At 35.0% G+C, this 17,440-nt stretch overlaps 1 protein-coding gene across 2 annotated transcripts in view; it reads left to right on the top strand.

The window, feature by feature from the left end:
* MMP16 (matrix metallopeptidase 16) overlaps positions 1–16,517 on the top strand; it is a 295,473-nt gene extending 278,956 nt beyond the window's left edge. For both annotated transcript variants that reach the window (NM_005941.5, XM_024447154.2), the window contains 2 exons: positions 1,744–1,859; positions 6,733–16,517. In NM_005941.5, coding sequence (NP_005932.2) covers positions 1,744–1,859; positions 6,733–7,067 — 451 coding nt within the window. In that variant the 3' untranslated portion in view covers positions 7,068–16,517. The remainder of the gene's footprint in view (positions 1–1,743; positions 1,860–6,732) is intronic.
* The last annotated feature ends 923 nt before the right edge of the window (positions 16,518–17,440 follow it).

Here is a 17,440-nt window from a genome sequence, read left to right as displayed (position 1 = left end):
TAAAATAATGCATAGAGCAATAGGGCTGCCCGAAATAGGTGATATCACTGTGAACTCCCAGTGATTTTACCCTATTTTGTCAATCTTTGTGACCATTCAAAATATAAACTTATTTTACTCCTAAAATACATGGACAATAATGAGTGATCCAAAGTAGGGATGTTCACAATTTGTTCCTTGGAAGTCTAGGGGTTCTGTGAAAGTGGCTCACGGACTAGCCTGTGAAGGGATGAGAGTCTGAGAGTTCTAACTCTTGGTGAGCTTTGCTTTTACTTGTATTAATGTCTATACACTGAGTACTCCAATCAAGACCAGCCCTAATGTCTATACTCACATTCCCAGTTTCCTCATCAACAGGTCCACTTTGAAGTCTGAATTTAAAGTAGTTAACACCAAAGTCATGGTTCCTCAATCCTTCTCAGCTTACCTTCCCTTACTTCCTTACCTTACTGAATGACAACATACTTCTTCCAGATAATCGGGCTTAAAATTCTTGAGTCATGCTCAGCTTCCTTCTCTTTCACATCCCACATCTAATCCATGAATAAGTCCTTTGGCTCTTCCTTTAAAATATATCCCAAATGCCTTGATTTATCATCAGTCCTATAGCTATTGACTCCCTAGTCCAAGGATTATTGCAGTGACATCCCGACTGGCATTCCTACTTCTGCCTTATCTCCTTCAAACTCTTTTACTCATAGCAGCCAGTGTATTCTTTTCAACACTTAGCCATAAGTTTAAGCTTCTCTGTTCAAAATATATATGATTTCTCATCTCTCTTAGAGTAAAGCCAAAGGCTCGCTGTAGTGTAAATGCTTGTCTAATCTTAGGTTCTGGTTCTTACTCTCACCATGTCTCCACATTACTAACTCAATTCCAGTCACCCCAGCCTCCTTGTAGACACAGGTACTCCAGCATGTGCCTGCCACAGGAATTTTCAATTCCTAGTTTCTCTGCCTGGAATGTTCTTCTCCCAAAGACTGCATGTATTGCTCCTCACTTTTCTCTGCTCAGATGTCAACTTATCAGACAGGACCTCTCAGTCCACCAATTTAACATGACTTCAGATACTCCTAGATAACTCTTATCTGCTTTGCTTTTTTCATAGTTGTTATCACCTCCTATCATAGTATGTATTTATTGATAAATTGGTTTATTGCCCATCCTCACATATCCTATAATGTGAGATCAATGAGAGCCACAGCATATCTGTGTTGTCCAACGTTGTATCTCTAGCCCTATAATAACGCCAGGAACATAATATATATTCACTAAATATGTACCGAATGAATAAATAAATCAAGATTCTGCTTAAGATTATTTCAAAAAAATGTTCTGCTTCCTAAGAAAGGTTTTTTAAAAACTCATGAAAACCTCTGATATATATATGCAGGTTGGTGATGTCCTTATGAACTATAAATATACTTAGCTAGCACTTTTTATTCACTTTAGCATACTGAATAAGAACTTATTTTTAACACAGGCAGGATATGGACAATAAGATGCCCATTTTTAATATATGCAGGAGAAGAAACAGAATAAATGCCTTATGCCCATTGTATTTTCAGTTATTTAAATAAGAGCTTGCCAGTTGGAGTTCTGTAAATCATTAACAGGTGCACAGGTAACAAAGTCAAGCACACAGCAAAGGTCTAATAAATGTCAGCTATTATTGTTTGTATGCATAATCTTTCCCTATATGTGTGTTATTGTGTTTGTTGTTGTTGTTTTTATCCTTTGTAGATATTGGAGATATAGTGAAGAAATGAAAACAATGGACCCTGGCTATCCCAAGCCAATCACAGTCTGGAAAGGGATCCCTGAATCTCCTCAGGGAGCATTTGTACACAAAGAAAATGGTATGCAACATGTGCTTTCTACATTTCATAAGTTTGCTATCTTAGTAACACATTAGGCTTTTTCACTCTGCTAAATTAAGCCATTGGAAAGTGCTATACTAGAGCTATGTAATACTGTATTTCTATTTATATGAACTTTTTTTCCTAGATTTACATATCATATTATGCTGTAGACATTTTTTAACCTCAACTTAGTTTATAAAAAAGTCATTAGAAAAAAGACAAGTAATAGTTTAATATGGAAGTTGTGTATACCTTTGAGGTAATTTTACCTATATTTCTATTAAAATTCCTGTAAAGATAATAATAACAAAAATACATGGGACAGAACCGGTCACAAGGAAGATAGAGGTGCCACTCGAGGTATTATATCTGGTAATAATGCATGTTGAGAATTATAATTTTGTATCTATTCTTTAGCTTAGAGGAAGAGTCCAGCAAGCAAGGAAGATTCCAGCTCAATATGGTGAGAATAGAGTGGATGTATGATGGTATAATAACAGGAAAAAAATCCAAGAGCTGTCCCCTTTACTTGCTATCCCAGGATTTCACATTCAGCTAGATCCTGAGTGGAAAATTAGCCAAGCTGGGGATAATCCATACTCCCCTATCTGTTGGCATATATGAAATGTAAACATATCTCTTCCCATCCAGGGATTAGTAAATAGGAATAAATCATAATAATAATTTGAAATTGAATTTATATGCAATATTTCAGAACAAAGGAAAAGAAAATGACATTCTGAAATACAGAGAAAAATATTTACCTCATCAAATTATTTTCAATAGGAAGCATAAGAAAATAGTATATTATGTAGTCCTCAATAACATGAAAAGTCTGTGACATATGCTCAACATAAGCAAAAATAGGCATCTCTTGCAAGACAAACAAGTGCATCTAGGGGCAGGGAAGAGAAAGCAAGGTTAATGAAAGAGTCAGGGGAAAATGAAAAATCATACTACCACTGAAAACTGTGATTGACCTTAAGTGTATTGCAAGATTAAGAAAACTCTACACTGGCAGGGCGTGGGGGCTCACACCTGGGAGGCTGAGGTGGGTAGATTACCTGAGTTTGGGACCAGCCTGGCCACAATGATGACACCCCCATCTCTACTAAAAATATAAAAAAATAAGCAAGGCATGGTGGCATGTACCTGTAGTCCCAGCTATTCAGGAGCCTGAGGCAGGAGGATTGCTTGAACCCAGAAGAAGGAGGTTGCAGTGAGCTGAGATCATGCCCCTGCACTCCAGGCTGGGTGACAGAGCCAGTCTCTGTCTAAAAAACAAACAAACAAACAAACAAAAAGATAAGAAAAAGAAAGAAAGAAAAAGAAAACTCTATACTAGTATAAACTTGAAGGAACTTAGAATCAGGATAAATTAATACCAATCAGAAAAATCAAAGTACATGTACTGTTTTTTGAGCATTGCTATATGTATAATGATATGCTACTACATTCTGTGTGATAGTGTCCCACAAGTGGAACACTGTAGGCAGAGGCAAAGTCAAAAAGAACCTTGAAGTCCTGATCATAGTACTTGCTGAGAAAAATAATTTTTGTGTATTCAATTGGCTCAGAAAATTAAAAGACCAAGTTAAGATATTACTTGTATGTGACAGAAGCAGAAATCCATAGGACAGTGAGACTAAGATTAAAACATAACTCTCTGAGATAAAAGGGAAAGGAATAAGAGAGTAAAGGAAGTCATGATAAAGTCACATTGGAGGCAGTAAAATCAGATTAATAATGTGCCTCAAAACTTAAGAAGCTATACAGCTAAGAAGGACAAAGAAATGAAAAAATGTGAAAGATGATCACATCAGTTTATTTATCCACATGTGTTAAATAGCAACTTCTTACTAATAAACGTGTAAGAGTAAAAAATAGAACACAGAGGCACTGCTCTCAGGGAACATCTACTAAGCTATATAATAGTACCAGCTGTGGAAAATTATGTCTCATTACACTTTTAGGATGAAACAATAGACAAGTCCAATGATGTTCAGTCAAACATAAAAGGATCATCAAAACACAGCCTCGTTAATTTATTTTCTAGAATTTCTCAAAACAATGAAAATTTAGTTAAGAATTCACCAGAAGTTATTCTTCATAAGCATGTATACAAAAATACATGTCAAAGCTGCTTTTAAAAGGAAAAAAATACAAATACCTAAATATTTATTCAACCAACTGACCTTTCATAAATGAAAAAACCTAGGTTGTTGAGCAAGATGAATTTTGCAGGATCAAGGTTTGACATACTTCCATTACCAAGTATTACTTCTATTTTAGGCTACTTCCTTTCAAATGCTTACACTGTCTATCTCCTAGTAACTAGACATTTGTTTTCTGAGACAGGGTCTCATCTCACTATGGTGCCCAGGCTGGTCTATAACTCCTGTATGATGCCCAGCCTGGTGTTGAACTCCTGGGCTCAAGCAATCCTCTTGCCTCGGCCTCCCAAAGTGCTGGGATTACAGGCATGAGCCTCCACAACAAGCCTAGACTTCTTATTTGTAACAAGTGTATTCAGTAACTGCAATTCTACTCCTATATGTGGAGTGTGTTACTATAAAATGTGCCCTACAGAACTGTGTTGTATGTAAATAGAAACTTCTTAACTTTTGTGTAATGCTTAGTAGCTCTATAGTAATGAGCTTTAGCCAAAAATTAAAGATGAGGACACATCCAGCTGTTGGTTTCCAGTTTATAGATATAAGAAGTACATTCACCTATTTTGAAGGTCTGTTTAATTCTAGATCAATGCCGTTATTCATCTATGATCATCTAATGTACTGTTATTTGGCAGGCCCTCAACATTTCTTCATCCAAGCTTGTTGAGTAATTATATTGAATTTCATTAACGTGATCAAATACCAACTCTCGGCTGAAAAACTTGTATCTACATACACCTGTTTTCACTTGGCAAGTTGCTCTCATTGCAAAACTGTCCTTCAAAACTAAAAGCAGCAGTAGGTGTTCATGGCATTGAACAGAACGATTTCCAGAATGAAGTGACCTGAAGTAATCATCTGCCCTATCTGAAATTTCTTGAGAGATGTCAGAGTTCTTCATTCAAAAATGATACCTATCTATCACACCCTTGGATGTTTAACCTAGGAGTATTTGATAAAAGATAGGCGATCTCCGAGGTCGGGAGTTTGAGACTAGCCTGACCAACATGGAGAAACCCTGTCTCTACTAAAAATACAAAATTAGCTAGGCATGGTGGCATATGCCTGTAATCCCAGCTACTCAGGAGGCTGAAGCAGGAGAATCGCTTGAACCCAGGAGGCGGAGGTTGCTGTGAGCCAAGATCGGGCCATTGCACTCCACCCTGGGCAGCAAGAGCGAAACTCCATCTAAAAAACAAAGACAGGAGATGTGTAAAGGACCCAGTCTTAAAAAATTATTAAGTGTACAGTCTCTAGATCTAGATCAAGGTTTAAATCTTGTGTTCACCAGAACATGAGCATGTTATTTTGTCTCTGATCCTCAATATCGTGGGCTTAAAAGAAAGGATAATTAATTCTACCTGATAGAGTATTTGTGAGGATTTAAAGACAGGTCATCTACTAAACTTTAACCCAATGCTTCTTCCATAATAAGTCCTCAATAAAACAGGAAAAAATATTACCTTCATTAACGATTATAAACTATGAATTTTGCCTTGTATCAAAAATAGGTAACTCCCAAAATATAGTTTTAAGTAATTATAGCATTAAAACATTTCTTGATTTTTTGAATTTTATCTCAAAGGACAAATTAAGTCAAAGTATTATAGTCACACAGAAACTTGACATGAATGAGCTGTGGACAGAAAGAAAAAACTGGATATGTGCCCAACAAAAACATAAAATTTGGAGAATAGACCTAAGAAAAATGTCCATATTTGTAGTTTAATCATCAGGAGCTTAAAAGTCTATTGTATGCATTCATAATGTTTTAGAAAATAAATTGCATGTATTGCTGAGTTACTTGAGCCTCCCACATCCCACCTCCTCCCCATGAAATATAAGGTACTAGGAAGTATTAAAAATAGAATTGTAGATTTATGTTGTATTTTATTCTTAAAATAATGAATAATGGCTTTAGTAGTTCTCTAAAATATAGCTAGGTGACACAAATTAAACATATTTTTAATAAAGTAAAATAAAGAGGACAAAAGGAGAAGGAACAAAATGTTTATGACCTAGAGCCAGAAATGAGGTTAGAGTACCGAATACTATGAATACGTCTTTACTTGTTAAGATTCCTTGCAGGCAAATGAAAGCCCCTCCAGTTTTATGATTTCATTGTATTATGATTTCTCATGCAAATTACAAAAGGAAGCCTGTTGTTTAGAAGGAGCACAGATTCCTGATACTAAGATGATTAGAAATTTCCCTTGAGGTGTTTCATAGAGAAGCGACTTTATCATATATTGAACAATGTTCCCAGTAACAGCCTGAGGGTAAACAGTGTTTCAGTTTATAAGGCTGTTTCAGCATCTTTCAATATAGGTTGGTACTATCACACTAATATGTAATTTTGTAACAGCAATCCTGTAAGCGAGCAAAAAGATAAGGTTCTCTTTTCTAGCTTGGACTAGGAGTAGACTGCATAGCATGGTCTTTGAACAGTCCTCTGTAAATGATATTTCTCTCTCTGGACTGAGCTTTCCATAGGCATTAGATGGCATCATTCCTGGAGCACAGCAGCCACAGCCATCTTAACAGACAGCTGAGCTGAAAATAGTGTTTTCTTCCTATGAAAATTAAAGGGCCTTAAAATACATCTCTTAAGACATAGCCTATTTTAGTAACATTTCTCTACATATACACTGTCACAAATAAGTGGTACCTGTGTGTGTGTATGTTTTTCCCCCTAGGCTTTACGTATTTCTACAAAGGAAAGGAGTATTGGAAATTCAACAACCAGATACTCAAGGTAGAACCTGGATATCCAAGATCCATCCTCAAGGATTTTATGGGCTGTGATGGACCAACAGACAGAGTTAAAGAAGGACACAGCCCACCAGATGATGTAGACATTGTCATCAAACTGGACAACACAGCCAGCACTGTGAAAGCCATAGCTATTGTCATTCCCTGCATCTTGGCCTTATGCCTCCTTGTATTGGTTTACACTGTGTTCCAGTTCAAGAGGAAAGGAACACCCCGCCACATACTGTACTGTAAACGCTCTATGCAAGAGTGGGTGTGATGTAGGGTTTTTTCTTCTTTCTTTCTTTTGCAGGAGTTTGTGGTAACTTGAGATTCAAGACAAGAGCTGTTATGCTGTTTCCTAGCTAGGAGCAGGCTTGTGGCAGCCTGATTCGGGGCTGACCTTTCAAACCCAGAGGGTTGCTGGTCCTGCACATGAGTGGAAATACACTCATGGGGAAGCTTCCATGATGCACAGTATCTGCTGTTCTTCAGTCCTTTGTCTTTCTTTGTCATTCAGTTCTAGGCCTTTCCTCTGCACGCTCAATGCCCAGTAAAATTTCAGGATTAACTAAAGAAGAGGAGAAAAAGAAGAAAAGATTCTTCTTAAAAGTTTCTAATGTTATTTTCCTTCTGAAGTCTGAGCCCATTTCTGGGGGGAGAAAAAAAAAGCAAATCAGAAAACCCACGGTTTTTCTTTTTTTCTTTTTTTCTTTTTTTCTTTTTTTGCTTTAAAACAAAGGGAAAAAAGAGTTTAAACAAAAAACCCACAATTGAACTTCCAGGAAAGTGTGAAGACCCAAAACAGCTTTGTCTCCAAAGAAGATAGCTCTCTGACTGCTTTGGATAGTCTCCTACGCACCATTTTGTCAGGTGGGAGATTTGGAATACACATGCAGGACGTTAGACTGTTGGGACAGCCATTTTCCAACAACCAAGGGGCCAAAATATCTGCAATATAGTAACAGCCTTAATAATACATCCATTTTTCGTTTTATACAGCTGTTCTCAGCTATGTCCTCAGTGTTTCATCGCATTTATATTCATAGCTATTTTCAAACACGACCTTTTAATTGTTTTTGAAGTATTTCTAAACCCCTTCTTTCCACCTTACTCCTCCATCATTGTGATAATCTTCCCAAGTTGTATTAGGCCATTGCCCCAGGCCTTCCATGGGTCTGTCAGGAATATTCGTTACAAAGCAGAGCAAGAAGCAGTATGTCTCTGAAGTGGATTACAGTGGCAGTTATTTTACAAGGATTTGTGACACTAGTAACATACCCGTGTAACCCTTTGAGAACTATCAGACCAGCTTTCAGAGTCTTAGGATTGTCGGTCTTGCGATCTGATAAATTATAGAACTGGGCAATGGTAAAAACAGTCACAAGTTCAAGAAGTTCAGGTTTTTAAAACAGATATCCTATAATGTCATATAATTTTTAAATGATTTACAAGACTACATAAATGTGTTTATAACAAACAGAAATGATGTTACTTGCCAAAATTTTTCTGGCAAATAAAAAAGGTATTTTATTAAGATTCTCATAAATCTGAAATTTTATTTGAAAAACTGATAATAGCCTAAGTCTTCTTTTCTTTTTTTTAGGCATACTGAATTTCTGTTTTAAAATCCATTGCATGAAAATTCAATTTGCCTTGGTATATGCAGTTAGCATTGCCATTTTAAAAATGAATTAAAACGGTGACTCTGAAGTTGCATGAATATCCTCCAGTGCATTACCTATTGCATGTCCACCATAGTTCTCAAAGGGTTAGTGTGGCTTCTGGCATTTAGCCGTCCATTTGATCACTGACAGAGCCAAGAGACCACCAAAGCATTTCATTGTTGAGTGTAATTTGTCCTAACAGCAGTATTGTCATTTTCATGTGACCTGCAGAGCAGGTTTGTATCAATATTTTTTTCCTAGAGAAAAGTCAGCAACTGACAGACCTCTTTATTGATTTTTAGGAGCTGCTTCTTGCAGTGAAAGGCTTTACAGCCACTGGGCTGTGAACTTATTAGAGATGGTCAGAATGAATGCACCCCATGAGTCAGACATTGGCTTTGTGTGAAAGCCAGCTTTGAGGGGATTAGCTTTTGAAACAATGAACAGCTTGCCTTGAACTTGATTATTGATCTATTGACTGTCATTAACAACAACTTAAACATTGTCTTCTGTGAAAATTTTCCTTGAAGAGTCCTGTTCTATGTCTTTGCCCTTTGACCTTTAACTTGCAAACTGGCACAAACTGAAGGAAATCTGGTGTTGCTTCTCCATTGGATTAGTTGTTCTCTAAAACCTAGTAAGCATGAGCTGTTTCCTTAGAGTGGAGAGAGTGGTGATGGCAGATCTGCAGATGGACACTTTGCTCTTTACATGCACACTCTGAAAATGCCCTATAGGTAGAAGTGAATTTTAATTTCATTTTAATATAATTTCAAGTCTAAATTCATCATTTTAGTACAAATTACAAAAACTATAGGAAAAAAAAAACCTCAAATACTTGAATGGCCAGTGTGGCTTTTATATAAAGCAGGAATTTTATACTAGTAAAAATTTCTTACTCATTTGCTAATACACATTTCCAGATGATTTTTAATGAGTGTAGGTATACATTCTTATTTGGAAATGGATAGTTTGGCTGCCTTGAATTTATATTTATACTCAACGTAGCATGAAAATTAGAATGCCTTTTGGTTAAACTACATGTTTATGATTTGGTTGGGGAAAATATTTTATAATTGTGGGTGGCATGCTGCAAAGCCTTGCAGATTGTTATTTCTTACAACCTGAGCGTATATAGTATGAGCCTAAGAAAAAAGAAGAGTAAGAAAAGAAGAATGGCTTTACAGTAAAATATCATACAATGCAGACAATATTTTAAGAGGATATTGGAGATTATGTACGCAAGGGCCAAGAAAGCAAGAAATGAGAACCAGAGTCAGCCCTGTAGCTTTACTTCAGTGCTTCCATTCTAGATGATGCTGATATTATAAAGAGTTAGTCACTGCTGCTAAGCATGGAGGACTATATACATAAGCTCGTTTATACAGTGTTTGCTTGTGGGAGGGTTTAATCCTTTTAGGGCCTTGATGTCAAGAAAAAAATAACTGGAAACTATATTTTGCTAAAGATAGAAATGAGGAACTGTGTCATTTTGGGACATGTGCAAATCATTGAGGAACTCCATCACCCTGCATTGAAAATTGATTTTTTTTTCCTCTAAAATGAGAAAGAAACTGAATAAGCAATCTGTTGCCTCTTTACTCATTCATCACAATATCCTGATTCGTCATAAGGCTATCAGTATATAAGGGCTAGAAAATAATCATAGCATTAAGAAGGAAGGAGTCTATCATTATGCTTGAATTCTGGCAAATGTCATGAATAAGGGTTGGGTCATATTTACTTTAATATGAGACAAGATTTATGTGATAAGCAAAGGCATATAAGGCTGCTCTTTTGAACAGAACATTTCAGTTATCAGGCTGTACTATTACAAGAGATAAGAAGACAATAAGGACAATGTAATCACAAACAGTGGGATTCCATTTGTTTATTGTACACCAGCTACTTTGTGGGTATGGTTCCTGACTCCTCTTCTACATGAGGTTTGGGAAAAAAGTCTCAAACCAAATGGAACAGTGAAAGGGAAAGTAATTCATCTAGCACATAAGAATAGTGATTCAAAACCAATGCAGAATAAATTTCCATGGGTCAATAACATAAGGTGTCAGTTCAGTGTTACTAGAGATATGCAAGGCATAAAATATTTTCATCACCCCATCACTAATAACATGAAAAGCTCAGACATAGGATTTCCCAAATTGAAATGAAAACACATTCATGCCTGCAAAAATAATTCTCCTTCTGCTTCATTTCTCATTACTTTATCTAATATAAACACAAATGTAAACAAGGTAATGGTCTTCATGTAAAATGACCATATAGTTAAGAATTTTAGTAAAATATTGTTGTTCTGTGTATTATTAAACAAATGCAATGAAGTATTAAAATAGCTGATCAGTTTGAATTTCCTGTAAAGCAGTAATTCCGCATCAGAATTGTAGATAAGGTTGTGAATTTATTGACTCATTTCAGAACAGTGTCTGTTGACATGGCAGTCAGAGCAGGTGAATACAGATGCTCTTTCTGATTGCAAAGGTTATAGAGCTAAATTAGACAGCATTATGTGATACTAGCAAAGACAACTTCTGTTATAAATCAGAGGGCAAGGCTTTTCTGAATCGATGTGATAAATTACTAAGTAATGATTACCAAAAATAATTACTAAGTAATAAAAGATACAGACTGGTTTACTGAAATAAGCAAGTGTTACATTTAATAATTACCTATAATCTTTTTTTGTTAACACATAAGCAAGTGTTACCTTTAATAATTACCTATAATCTTTTTTTGTTAACACATAATTTGGCCATTTCATATACTGTGTACCTATTTTCATTCCCTCTCTGTGGGTCATTAAAAAACACAATGTGGTGGATAAGAACATTGTCCAAACTTCACTGCTAGTTCCAATACATAGATGATGGTGTGTAAACTGGATTGTAGGGGTAGTCATATTTGCAAGTTCTACATGTTATGCTAATATATCTAGTATGGTACACATACACGCCCACACTTTGTGGATCTTACAGTGGAATAAATAGTGTGTCCATATTAACTAAACTCAAAGTGCTATCTGAAGAGGAATGGATGTTATAAGCAGACAGACAGACTGAGTTAAACTGAGTCATGAAAAAATATATATTTTAAAGTTTTTGGAATCATTTCCAGAAACTAATAAAGGGAATTATTTACTGGTAGTATTGAGTCTGTGAGATTGTAGTATATACTGAAACAATCTTCTGGATGGTGGTAAGGTCTTTTTTAGCAAACACAGTAAAGAGCTTATTTCATTTCTGATGCTTTCAAGGGCATATTCCAAAGTATCACAGATGTCAAATAGAATATGCTATATAAACCAAAAATGTGCATTTCAGATGACCTATTACAGCAATCTCAGCCAATATGTAATATCACAAAATGTGTCAAGTCAATCATATAAGAGGATCTAATCATTCGGCTGTATTTCATGTACCTTCATGTTGTTGATATATTGTGACCACAGGAAATAGGTGCCAGAGCATATGCAGTTAAGTTACAGGCTCCACGTTGCCTAGGAGGGAATCATAACTACATCAGAAAATTTTTAACAGTTATATCTTAAAAATTAGAATTTTATGTAATAAATAAAGCGGCAACCAGGAATAGCAACGCAACAAATATGAAAGCTAATTATTATATTTAGCTTTCATATTTATATAATATGATGGAAATGGAGGAGGAAAAATGAGTCTTTTGTTAAATATAAAGACAAACTATAACACTCCTTGATAATACAACTGGAAATTTTACTTTAGCAAGCATAAAATAGTGGAGGAAAAAAATCCAACTTCAAGCTCTTTGCACTAGTGATGATTATGTGATATATCAATGTAATATTTAGCCAGTGGTCATTAGATGTTACTGTGCTTAAACACATCTGATACTCATGCATTGCCTTACAGGCTAAAAATGTAAGAGGTAGGTGTTCAGTAACCTCAAGTTGGAAAGATATATAATGTTAGAATCCCCTGAGACAAGCCATTTCCCTGAAATAGAAATTTACCTCAATACTCATGTAATCTAAGACACTTGGCGTAGTAGCAAAGAAGTTGCCTTCATGTTCTAGTCTCATCTAATTGTGACCTTTGTCTTTCATGTACTTCTGAAATCATTTTCCACTTTTTCCACTGGTGTGATTTTGAAACAATTCTGAAATATTTCAGGTAAGATTAATAACATCCAATTACAAATATATGTTTCAATATTTTATACGTATGTCTACTTTGAAAGTTAAACCAATAGTATAGAAAGCCTAAGAATGAACACTGATTGGACATACTCACAGAAATTAAGGGAAAAACACATATTGTAAAATTCCTGTCAATGTTTGAGTAGAATACAGAAGTACATAGCAGTCTTCAATTTTTAAACACAATTATGGGCTTATAACTGGACGTGACATGCATCATTTATTAGAACAATATTATTTATTTATACTAAGTAAGGATATAAGATCACAGAAGCTTAGTGTTATAACGGAGACTTCACAGACATTCATAACTAATGTTTTCTAAGGCAAATAAGGGCATAAACCAGAACTCATGGTCAGTGCAGAGTAAGTATAAAAAGTTATGTATGAAAGACATTTATTTATAGAGATTTCTGAGGATTCTATGCCTTTTCAACTTAAAGATGAGTGTGTCTTAGAATTTGTTTTATGCATCATTGGACTGGGGATGATATTCAAATGTGCACTCAGCGTGTCCTCACATTAAAGGGCACATTGAACAGTATAGGAAAATACATCATAAACTAGAATGTTGTACAGATTCATATAACTTTCCCATGTGCTCTGCTGTAGAGCTGAATTTATATGCCCTTAAAAAGGGATAAGAATCAATTAAATATAAATACGGAAATATACTTATGTTAGGTCACTTAGCTTCAGAGCAAGATGTCATTAACCTTTATTTCACAGAGAAAAACTGGAAGAAAAGAATGGTGAACAAGAATAAAATGATAAACTTTTTGGCTTATAGAGATGTTTCTTGGGAATTTTTTCCACTTGTTTTTATACATGAAAAAAATATCAGTCACAATACAGACATTTCTGTAGTATTTGGTCTGTGGGTAAACTGGATCCCAGGCAGAATACTTTTTGACACAGGCCTTTTTATACATGCTTTATATATGATGAAGCTTTGGTGAGATGTGACTGCATGGTAGGATGCATTTTCCTAGGATAGGATATGGTGCTGCTTGTACTTGCCACCTTTTATATGAATGTATGTCGCTACATTGGCCTGTCTTGCCAAGACATGGTTGAATGAAGCCTGGTGTGAGCTGTCTATTTGAAAAGTCACTAGGATGCATGTTTCATTTGCCGTTACATAATGCCAATTTGAACCTGTTTCCTCTATATATTAACAATCCAATTGTTAAGATAAAATATACTTTGCTTGAATGAATGATTTTGGTAGTAATATGAGCGTTATCCTTAAATCAATGTTACAATTTTTGCTATTACTGAAATACCGTCACAGAGGCCACATTATTGGCTGTCTATACCATTGCCTGAGTAAAATTAGGTTTTTAGGTCTTTTTGGCATTTACTTCTTTTACAGCTGATGTGGAATCAATTATTCCTTTATATGTTCATAAGTACAAAATTTCACTATCTTAATTACTTCCAAACAAACAATTTCCAAGCAAGGGTATGTGTGCCTGGTTTTTCTGCTCCTCCAATTCTAAGATCGTTATTTGTTTGCCTTCTGTTTCTCACCCAAAAATACAGATGGTTGGGAAAGATACATCTTATTGAGTTGTCCTATGCAGTCTCTGTCTATATTTGCATTTCTTTCTATTCCTATCTTGCCTTTTTTTTTTTTTTTTACACAGATTTGGTTTTCCCTTCCCTTTGTGAAAACCAGAATTGAGCAGCATTGTACATCAGAGATGGTACCCAGGAAATGTCTTTGTTCCTCAGTATTTTTCGTCAAAACTTCCATGCAAAGACAGTCCCAGCAAAGTTGACATACATCCCAACCTCTCTCATTGGCTTTTCTAACTTTTTATAGAGCTATTCCCCTGAGAAAAGTGAAATGCTGAGTATGATGGGTATTGCCTGTTGATAGGATAGCTAAGGAAATTTGCTTTTGGAGAATGTATCTTAAATAATTATACAGGAAAGTAGTCACAGTATAGTGTTCTGTTTAAGGTACATCATGGGTACATAAATGCCTAAAACCTTCATCCTTTGGTCTATTTCTCTGTAAGTGTAAATTACATATATATTAGAAAGAGAGATAGAATCAAAGAATTAGGGGTGTTACAGAGGCAGCTTTTTGCTGCCTTGGTTTTGACTGTATCAGCATTTCTATTGCAGACCTCTATTTTCAGGGGTTTTAGAGACTCGACCATAAAAATTTGTTTCAGGCTTAAAAGTTTTGAAAGATTTTTTTAGGTATCTGATTTTAAACAAATAGATCTTGTTTTTATATTATAGGAGGGAAATAAATGGAGTTTACTAGTTCAATTTTGCGCTAATATAACTTTTAATAAACTTAACTTTTTAAACAAAAACATAAAATCTAATTAGTTCATAGTTGGTTGATGCTTTTTTAAAAGAATCAATTATTGACCTTGAGAAACTTGCCTGCTTCATCAGTATAGTAACCTATCTTTAAGATATTTTAAAACGTGTATACCTTTATTAACATTATCTTGATTCCAGCGGTGGATCAGTATGATAATGCAGATTTATGACATCCATATAAGCTATCTGGTAATATAGATTTAGGAATATATAGTATATATGATACATATATATATATATATTTACTAGATAGATTAAGGAGAAAAAGCTCCCATAAACTTAGTTTGTCAAATAAATACCATATATTTAAAAAATGCACAGACATTTATCATTCAGAGTCAGAATGAGATTCAAGTAATTGCAAAGGGAAGTTGTCTCTTGGGTAAACAATACACATTTTATAGCTTCTTGTGAAACTAATTTTTTCCTTTCTATATTGTGGTTATGGGAAAGTAAAAGAATTAAAATTAATACAGACTTTATTTAAATAACATTAAACTGTGAAGCAGAGAGAAACGCCAGGAAATTAAATATTTAGGCCATTATCTTGTGGTTGTCTGACAATACTTCACCTTTCTTTTAATTCCCCATGATGTTTTCAATTATGGAGAGAGTATTAAAATCTAGATTTAAGTTTCTGCATTGTTCTCATTACACTCAACACTATTTCATTAAGTTCTTGATAATATGTAGTCTTCTGTGTGCAAGGAAAGAAATAAATAACACATTTATTTGCTGAATGAGTTTTAAGGTGTGCAAGTTGTAGTGATGTTTTTCCCACACAGGATTCTATACACTTATACCATCTTAAATCTGGCATTTTTTTTTTCAGATAGCTTCTACTGACAAACACAAAGCTTGTTTGTGTGCAAATATAAGGCTAAATAAATGGTGCTAAAGTGTATTATGACTGTCAGATAAAATCAGGCAAAATTTTGTGGTGCTTAAATTAATTTTTTCATTGATTTTATTGATCAGTGCATTGAACAGTGTTTATTATTCACAAGTTGTCTTTTATTAGTAAATCAAGGCCTCATAGCACATTGTTAAATAAAGTGGTTGACTAGTCTATGTAACAGCTCACCAAGCTACTATCTCTTTTAACTCCTTATAATGTTGCGTCATTAAAGGTCAAGGGGTCATGCTATTAATCTCATTGCTATAGACCATTAACATGACTGAACTTTTCCACAAAGTACTTATGTTTACAATGCTATAACCCTTTGACTGCTGCGGCAACCTTTAACCACACAAATGTCACAAGCTAGAATCATCAGCATGGTTCTTGCCATGGCAATCAAAGAGTTAAGGGCTGTGCAGTGATTTGTTTTGTATTTATTAATTTATATTTATTTTGTTTCCATTCAAGGAGGGGATTAGGGGTGGGGCAGTTTTTGTCTGCTGTAAGTGTCTTAACCTAGGGAAGGGTTAAATGGCTTTTTATACTATTGCATCTTCTGTATTTACCATCAATTCATTGTGTTGTAATTAAAAGAAACTGTCAATAAATAAGAGAACAGAAAAATGGTTCATAGACATTGTGGTTTTACTCAATGAATGATTTACACACATTTATGACCAATATGTAAGATATGATTTATAAGCAGTAGCCTTTACTATCTGTGTCTTTCTAATCCATATGAAACAGAAAATGAAAACTAATTTAGGGAAAAATCCTCAGTGCATTTACCTGAACTAGCAAGTATATTAAACTGGCCACATCAACTGGAGAAACTGTTTAGTTACTATATGCTTATAACTGTGATCAAATAATGGAGAAGAAAACTTCATTGCATCAAATATATTTCAGGCAAATGCCTGTGAACATAGGATATTTAAGGTTTCTACAAAGACTTGACAAAAATAAAAGACGACATTTTGAAGAGATGAATATAATTTATTTTTAAAGTTACACATCATAGTTATCTAGGCAAATTTAATCACAGGAATTAATTTTTATGTTAAGTCTTTGGCAAAATCCCGTATAAGAAATCCCCCCCCCTTTTTTTCTCTCTTTTAATAATAGGATTGGCTGAGCATGGTGGCTCATGCCTGTAATATCAGCACTGTGGGAATCCAAGGCAGGCAGATCACCTGAGGTCATGAATTCAAGACCAGCCTGGCCAACATGGTGAAAGCCCAACTCTACAAAAAAATACAAAAATTAGCCGGGCATGATGGCAGGTGCCTGTAATCTCAGCTACTCAGTAGGCTGAGGTGGGAGAATCGCTTGAACCAGGAGGTGGAGGTTGCAGTGAGCTGAGATCATGCCATTGCACTCCAGCCTGGGCAACAGAGCAAGACTCAATCTCCATTTTAAAAATTAAAAAAAAAAATAGAAAAAAATAGGATTATAGTAAAGGATGGCCATGAACTGAAGAACCCACTCACAGAAAGAAAGAGGAAGGACTAATATTTTCATAACTAACATATAAATAAATTACCTTG

Source organism: Homo sapiens, chromosome 8 (genome assembly GCF_000001405.40).
Source record: "Homo sapiens chromosome 8, GRCh38.p14 Primary Assembly".
NCBI lineage: Eukaryota > Metazoa > Chordata > Mammalia > Primates > Hominidae > Homo > Homo sapiens.
The sequence above is the reverse complement of the archived record's forward strand: the minus strand, read 5'-3'. Positions and strand labels throughout refer to the sequence as shown.